This window comes from Homo sapiens, chromosome 7 (genome assembly GCF_000001405.40).
Source record: "Homo sapiens chromosome 7, GRCh38.p14 Primary Assembly".
NCBI classification, from domain to species: domain Eukaryota; kingdom Metazoa; phylum Chordata; class Mammalia; order Primates; family Hominidae; genus Homo; species Homo sapiens.
The window spans coordinates 10022536-10031241 of record NC_000007.14 but is presented as its reverse complement, the minus strand read 5'-3'; the positions used below and the strand labels follow the sequence as shown (position 1 = coordinate 10031241).

Here is an 8706-nt window from a genome sequence, read left to right as displayed (position 1 = left end):
CCGATATCCAAGATTCATGGGTCCAGGAATCAAGGCATGGTAATGGGAATGACACTACTCATTCACATTCAGTGACCTACTAGCAAAATTCTTGCTTCCTGTTCCTGTAACCTTAAGCTCTGCTGGCCAGAGGTCTTAGTTCTAGAGGCAGTAATTCTTCTACCAAGAGACACAACCAACAATGACTTCATTGAACTGGAAGTTAAGACTGCTGCCTAGCCACTTTGGGCTCCTCAAGCCTTGAATCAAGAGGTAAAGAAGGGAGTCACAGAGCTGGCTGAAGTGAGTAATTGATCCTGACAAAGGGAAATTAGACAATTACTCCACAATAAAGGTAAGGAAGAGTATATCTGGAATACAAGAGATTCATTAGGGTGTCTCTTACTATTACCGTGCCCTGTGATTAAGGTCAATGGAAAACTATAATAATCCAATCCAGGAAAAACTACTAATGCCCCAGAACCCTCAGGTATGAAGGTCTGGGTCATCCCACCAGGTAGAGAACCACTGCCAGTTGAGGTGCTTGCTGACGGCAAAAGAAATAAGTAGTAGGATAAGTAGTTATAAATACCAGCTATAAACACATGACTAGTTACAGAAACAAGGACTGTAACTGTCATGAGTATTTTCTTCTTAGTTTGTTATAAATACAGCTGTGTGTATCAAATTTATTTATTTTCTTTCCATTTTATTCCTTTATTATGTAATATAAGCTATATTGACTCTATATCACAGTATTTAAGTATTGTTAATTTTACATCATAGTATTTAAGTTATGGGATATCAAAGAGATGAATTAATAAAACTCAAAGACATTACCTCCTCTTTTGGGGAAAGAGATCATGTGTCTTCAGTTGTGTGCAGGACGGTTGTATCAAGTTAAGCAGACTTATGATTTATGATCTTGTTATTATCTTATTTGGAGAGTAACTATGGCTTAAGGAGATGTGTATGGGTGCCAAGTTAGCAAGGAGTAGACTTGTGCTGGTTAATTATATGCGTTAACTTATTGGGCCATATGATACTGAGATATCTGGTGAAACATTTCTGGTGTGTCCATGAGGGTGTTTATAGATGAGATTAGGATTTGAATCAGGGACATCGGTTTTCTCCTGCCCTTGACCTGAGATTTGCATTATCAGCTCCACTCATTATTACACCTCTGGACTTGAACTGAATGATACCACCTGCTTTCTTTGGTCTCCAGATTGCTGATTGTGGGACTTCTCAAACTTCAGAATCATGTAAGCCAATTCCTCATACTAAATCTCTTTACTCTACAGGTATAAATATACTCGTGTATGTATGTAAATCTTTCAGGAGAACACTTATTACTAACAGTAAGCAAATACACAACAAACCATTCTTAATCCTACTTCTCTCCCCATATGCAACCATATTTCCAAAAAAATTTCTGCAAAGAGTTTTCTGTTCTCCTTATTCCTCTCCTCCTCTCCTGACTCTTCGCCAATTAGTTAAACCTCTTGACAAGTTTTCAAAGGCCTATTTTGTTAGGTTTAATTTAATTTAAATTTATTTTATTTTATATGTAATATAGTGTATCCTATCTATTTTTTTCTCACAGGTTTTTGCTTGTCTTTTTAGTATTTTTTTGTTAAATAGACTGTTTAGATTTTGTTATGTTTAAATTAAATTAAACTTAATTTAATTTAAATTCTCAGTCCTGGCTTTACTTGAACAAATGGCAGACTTTGATATATTCAGTCCCACCCTTTCTTTTGGAATGCTTTATTTACTTCCCTTTCTTCCCACTTCACACCTTTACTTGTCTTTTCCCCAACTTTTAAAATTTACAGTGGCCCAGTGTTCAATTCTAGGTCCCCTCCTCTCTGCATAATTCAGATTCATATATTAACTATCTCCTGGAAAGAAAGGAGGAGACACTACTTGGGAATTTTGTTTGTTTCTTTGTTTGAGAAGGAGTCTCGCTCTGTCGCCCAGGCTGGAGTGCAGTGGCGTGATGGCGACTCACTGCAACCTCCACCTCCTGGGTTCAAGCCATTTTCCTGCCTCAGCCTCTCAAGTAGCAGGGATAGCAGGCACCTGGCACCACCCCCAGGTAATTTTTTGTATTTTTAGTAGAGATGGGTTTTCACCATGTTAGCCAGGATGGTCTCGATCTCCTGACCTCGTGATCTGCCCGCCTCGGCCTCCCAAAGTGCTGGGATTACAGGCGTGAGCCACTGCGCCTGGCCAATATTTGGGTATTTTACAGGCACCTCAAATTTAACAGATTCACAATTGAATTTCTGGTATTCTCCTATTAACCTTTTCCTGATATGAACTTTTCATCTCAGAAAATAGCAACTTCATATTGCCAGTTACTTAGGCTAACTCCAGAGCAAATTTGAACTCATCCTTGACACTTCCCTTTTGTCATACTCCACATGTAATATATTAGTTAATGCTATGACACAATCAACAGAATATACAAAGAATCTGGCTATGTATCAGAATTTCTGCTGCTACACCCTGATCTGTACCATTAGTATCTCTCACCTGGATCATTACTGTAGACTTCTATCTAGTCTCCCAATTTCTGCATTATTTTCCTGCACTCTATTCTTCACACAGCCAAAATGATCTTATCAAAATAGAAGTATATTTTTCATTCTTTTTTCTTGTTCTGTGACCTGTCTTAATATGTTCTTTTTCTCTATTGTAATTTGTTTTTATTAATTTACAGAAGTTCTTTATATAGTATATACGTATCTTTTTTCATATGTAGTATAGTGTTTCCTATATTTTATTTTTCCTATATTTTATATGTAATATAGTGTGTACTATCTTTTTTTTTCTCACAGGTTTTTGCTTGTCTTTGTTAAATAGACTATTCAGATTTTGTTATGTTTAAATTTATCATTTTTTACTGACTTATTCATTGAGGGACTTGCCTAAGAAATACTTGCTGTTCATGGAGATCATAAATATATTAACTTATATTTTCTTCTAATAATTTTTAAACAGTAATATTTCAAATTGGAGTTTTAAATAGAACTGGATCTGGAATTTAGTTTTTGAATATTTTGGTAGATAGGATGCCTTCAGCATATAAAAATTAAGTTACCACCATATCAGATACTGAATAGTTTACCCTTTCTTAACTGGTTTCTTATGCTGTATTTGACATACACTAAGTTCCCATATATGTATGTTTACAGGCACTCTTCCTTTGATTTACTTGTCTATTTCTGAGCTAATTTCAGACGTTTAAAATCAGTTGTTTAATGTTAGTCCAAAACCATCTCTTATTTTATTTTTAGGATTTGACTTGGCTAGTTTGAAATGTATTATGTATAGGAGTCAATTTGGGAAATACCGTGAAAAATTATATTGAAATTCAGATTGAAGGTCCCTTTAATTTGTATTTGAACCTGAGGCTTAATCAACATTTGTGACAGTGTGTCTTCTCATTCAGTAGCAGGGTATGTATTTCATTTTTTTGCCAAGTCTTTTTTGTTACAATATTTTATAATCCATAGTGATTTTGTACATTTTATCTTGAATTTATTCTGAGGCATTCTATAGATATTTAATCTTTGGTACTTTGGGTCAGTTTTATCATTTTTGAAGGAATCAAATTTCTTTATTTACTTTTTAACTTTTATTTTAGTTTCAGGGATACATGTGAAGATTTGTTATATAGGTAAACTCATGTTACAGGGGTTTGTTGTACACATTATTTTGTCACCCAGGTACTAACTCTAGTACCCAAAAGTTGTTTTTTCTGCTCCTCTCCAGCACCCCCCTGACAAGACCCCAATGTTTGCTGTTCCCTTTTTTGTGTCCATGAGTTCTCATCATTTAGTTCCCACTTATAAGTGAGAACATGTGGTATTTGGTTTCCTGTTTTTGTGTTAGTTTGCTAAGAATAATACCTTGCAGCTCCAGCCATATTCCTGCAAAGACATGATCTCATTCTTTTTTATGGCTGCATAATATTCCATGGTTCATATGTACCACATTTTCTTTATGCAGTCTATCACTGATGGACATTTGGGTTGATTCCATGTGTTTGCTGTTGTGAGTAAAGCTGCAATAAACATTTACATGCATGTGTCTTTAAGATAGAATGATTTATATTCCTCTGGGTATATACCTACTAATGAGATTGGTGTGTCCAATGGTAGTTCTGTTTTTGACTCTTTGAGGAATTGCCATACTGCTTTCCACAATGGTTGAACTAATTTACACTCCCACCAACAATGTATAAGTGTTCCCTTTTCTCCGCAACTCACCAGCATCTGTTATTTCTATGCAGAAGATTCAAATTGGATCCCTTCCTTAAACCATATAGAAAAATCAACTCAAGATGGATTAAAGACTTAAATGTAAAACCCAAAACTATAAAAATCCTGGAAGACAACCTAGGCAATACTATCCTGGACGTAGGAACAGGCACAGATTTCATGACTATGCCAAAAGCAGTTGCAACAAAAGCAAAAAATTGACAAATGGGACTTAATTAAACTAAAGAGCTTCTGCACAGGAAAATAAACTATCATCAGAGTGAACAATCTACAGAATGCTAGAAAACACTTGTAAACTATGCATCTGACAGAGGTCTAATATCCAGCATCCATAAGGAAGTTAAGCAAACTTACAAGAAAAAAACAAAACAAAGAAACAACCCCAGTGAAAAGTGGTCAAAGGACATGAACAGACTTTTTTCTAAAGAAGACATACATGCGGCCAACAAGGATATGAAAAAAGCTCAATATCACTGATCATTATATAAATGCAAATCACAACCACAGTGAGATGCCATCTAACACCAGTCAGAATGGCTATTATTAAAAAGGGTCCGTTCTATTTTTTAACATAACATTTATAATGGTTCTTGCTGGCGCAGAGGAAGCATTGATTTTTATGTAAACTTTTTTATTAAAGTATAACACATATAAATCCTTAAAATCATAATTGCACAGTTTATTACATTTTCACAAAATGAACACCCTAGCACCCACAGCAAGAAGTGGGTTATTACAAGAACCTCCAAAGTCCTCTTCTGCTCCCTTCCAATTACAGCTTTTCCTCTGCCCCAAATAACTACTATGTTGATTTCTAATCTATACATTAGTTTTGCCTGATTTTGAGATTTAAATAAATGGAATCACACTGTGTATTCTTTGTGTCTGTTTCTTTGGCTCAATTATTTAATAGTCATAAATGAAATGACTATGCATGTATATGTCTATTTCTGAACTTTCCTTAGTACGTTCATCTATCTTTAGGCTAACTCTGTGCTTGTTAATTTTTGTAGCTTCATAATAAGTTTTAAGATAGGGTAGGGTAGCTTCTGAACTTTTTCTTCTTCATCATTGTCTTGGTTATACCAGATACATTGCATTTTCATATACATTTTTTGTCACTGGATAGATAGCATAAGAATGTGCTAGGCTTTTGACTGGGATGGAATTAAATGTTTATGTCAAATTGTAAAAGTAAAAGTGAAATCTTAAAAATACTAGGTTTTCCAATTCATGAATATAGAATTACCCTTCATTTATCTTGTTTAATTTGTCTTACTCATGTTTAGTTATTTTCATTGTAGAGATGTTGGGCTTTTTTTGTTATATTTATTCGTAGATATTTGATGTTTTTTATTCTATTGTAAGTGGTATTTTTATTTCACCTGTCAGTTTTTTCTAGTTTATAAAAATAAAGTCACTTTCATATATGATATTTTAATTATTATTATAGTTATGAATGACTCAATGCTTTAGTTTTCCAAGATTATATTAAAAATGTAAATTCTGATATATTTGGCTTTTGAAAAGTAACTTGTTTCCAAAATAAACCTCAGAATGGTTACACTCCTAAAACTTTAAAAATGCTTGCCACATAATAGGTGATTTATAAATTATTGGTGAATGAATAATAATTCTTTTTACAACTATCAAGGATAACATAATTCATTAAATGATTCTTGAAAATAAATTCTGTGGGCTTACCGCACATATTTTGTGTAACGTTATGCTTCGTGAAACAGGCATGGTTTATTGCTTACAAATTATCCATTCTTCTCTTTTTCTTTAGTATCCATGTGCTGACTTTATTTGGAGTAGCAATGTGCATATCCCTAAGTAATAGATAATGCGTTGCTTACAACTGGAAAGGACTAAGTTCTGCACAATCAAATTTATGGTGATATCTGATGTCCTGTTAAAAGGAGTGAACTATTTCTGGGCCCTTCCTTCCCCTTCCACCATGCTTTTACTTTGAGCCTAGACTTGGTGTCCTGAGCTATACCAGTCTTTGTAACCAGAAGCCATTAAACATGAGGTGAGATGCTAGCATGCTTTTGGTGGCTAAGGGAAGTAGAAACAGATGAGGCTACTATGTCATCACTGAAAACCAGAAGGAATGCCAGCAACTGTGTATCTATGGATTTTTTCATATGTGAAGAAAAGAACCCCTCTTTGTTCAACTTTCAGTTAGTCAAGTATCTATTACTTGAAAATAAATACATTCTCAACTGATTTGCTTAGTTTGTTACCTATGTGGATAGTATGGAAACTATCTGACCAAATATAACACTTACAAATAAATTGATCCATAATACTGATAGAATCCAGAGATAACTTAATATGTAAAACTAAGTTAAATGGGAATAAACATTGAATGATGCAACATTAAAACTTAAATTGTAAATACAAATGTTCTCATTTTTAAAGATTTTCTAATAATATACAACTTATTCTATAAGGTTGAACGTGAGTTCTGTTCTTCTAAAGCTTCCTATAATAATCAAATCTTAATATTTTAAATATTAAAAAAATTTAATAACAATTATTATTGTAAATGTGTCACAGCTTGAGCTAACATAATCACTTTATGGTCCTCTTTTCCTGTGTATGTTCTACCTCTTCTTTCATATACAAATATGGCAAATAGCATGTACAAATGCCACCTCTTTTCTCTGTTGTTGCCATGGCAGACATTCCAAAATGATCATGGCACAATTTTTCTATAAACTCAGATATAGCCTATGTTCCTATACAACACAGATATCTAGGCAATTACGACCAATTCCTGAGAGTTGGAATGCTGAACATAACTTATTATCCATGACTATGCTCAAGTATAAACTCCAGAAAATTATAAAGTTTTTCAGTTTTATCTTTGTTTCTCAGATGCAATTTTTTCTCTTTTTGCATGTATCCAATTGATTGTTGGTAATGGATCAGCAGTGAAATAGCATTGCAAGGGCATCCCAACCTACAATACAGATGCTTTTGCAAGACCATGAATATATCAAAATTGCTAACACTTTAACAAAGCATATATGAAAATTTAGATAAATTGTGGTTCCCCAAATCACCTAATTTATGCTAGACTTGGAATATTAATATATTCTATGTCTCATGAATAGGTATTACTTTTCTAATCTATTACATATGCTGCTATACAGTTAGTCCAACTAAGTTTTTTTCTGATTTTTTTGTACACTCTGTACTTTACCATTTTTATGCATTTGTGCAAACTTTGTCTTCATCCTGGAATGCCTTATGTACAAATCATAGTCACCAGCCACACATCAGTTCACTTGTGCCATTTCTATATGGCTTTATGCAGCTCCTCAACAAAAATGACTCTACTTCCTATGTTTCAATGTCATTTTCTTAATATCATTATTTTAGTACACATTTTTTTCTTGACTGTCTTATGTTACTTGTATGTATCTTAATTATTTTAACTAGATTGTAAATATGCTAAGCATTCACATGCTGTCCACTCTTTATGTATGTCTCATATTATCAAGCATGATGTCTCTTGGGTACAATTGGATAGATATGTCATCTGGTGTATTAATTGCTATGCAGCAAATTATCCCAAAACTCAGGAGATTAAGATAAATATTATCTGACAATTTCTGTGAACCAGAATTCTGGGAGAGCCTTAGCTGAGTAGTTCTGACTCAAGGTCCCACATGAGGTGTATTGTGGCCACAGTTTTATCTGGAGAGTTGACTAGGGAAGGATCCACTTCCAAACTCACTTTTCTGGTTATTGACAGCGTCTGTTTTTTTCACTGGCTGTTAGCCAAGGACTTCAGTGCTTTGCCACAGTGGCCTCTTCTGGGAATGTTTGGAATGGAATATGGCTTCCCTCAGAGTGAACCATCAGAAAGCTGGGCCGGCAGTGGTAGGAGTGGGGAAGAAAGAGAGAGAGAGGGACCAAGACTGAAGCTACAGGCTTTTCATAATCAGATGTCAAAGGTGACATACTAACTACACAAAAGTTTGAATAGCAGAAAGCATGGATTATTGGGGACCATGCTAGAGGCTGGTTACCTTTCTTGAAAATTGTGATAGGTTCAATAATCATTTGTTTTGGTCCTACTACTTTCTAAAAAGGATAACCTATACTTTACAGTGTTTATCTTAAATATATTTGTGTCATAATAAAATAATGGCTGAAATATGTAAATATTAACAAATAAATTCATTTGGAAAAAATTGCAAAAAAAAATTATTAGGGCTTTTCACATTATCTCAGTCCCGTATCAGGAATGAGTTAATGTTTGACTCATCTGTGTGTGTGTGTGCGTGTGTGTGTGTGTGTGTGTGTGTGTGTGTGTTCACTACAATTTGAGGCTTATAAAACAGTAGTTGTCATTCCAAGAGATTATTATAGTAATACCGATTTCTATAGTAGTAATACAAAAATTCAAACATTTTTA

The 8706-nt window shown here is 34.1% G+C and overlaps 2 annotated features.

Moving 5' to 3' along the window:
* Positions 8006-8300: an enhancer, noted in NCBI's record as "tiled region #1694; HepG2 Activating non-DNase unmatched - State 24:Quies". NCBI's record gives its function as "activates a minimal TATA promoter and a strong SV40 promoter by Sharpr-MPRA in HepG2 cells {active_cell/tissue: HepG2}" and the evidence as "EXISTENCE:reporter gene assay evidence [ECO:0000049][PMID:27701403]".
* Positions 8006-8300: a silencer, noted in NCBI's record as "tiled region #1694; K562 Repressive DNase unmatched - State 13:Ctcf". NCBI's record gives its function as "represses a minimal TATA promoter and a strong SV40 promoter by Sharpr-MPRA in K562 cells {active_cell/tissue: K562}" and the evidence as "EXISTENCE:reporter gene assay evidence [ECO:0000049][PMID:27701403]".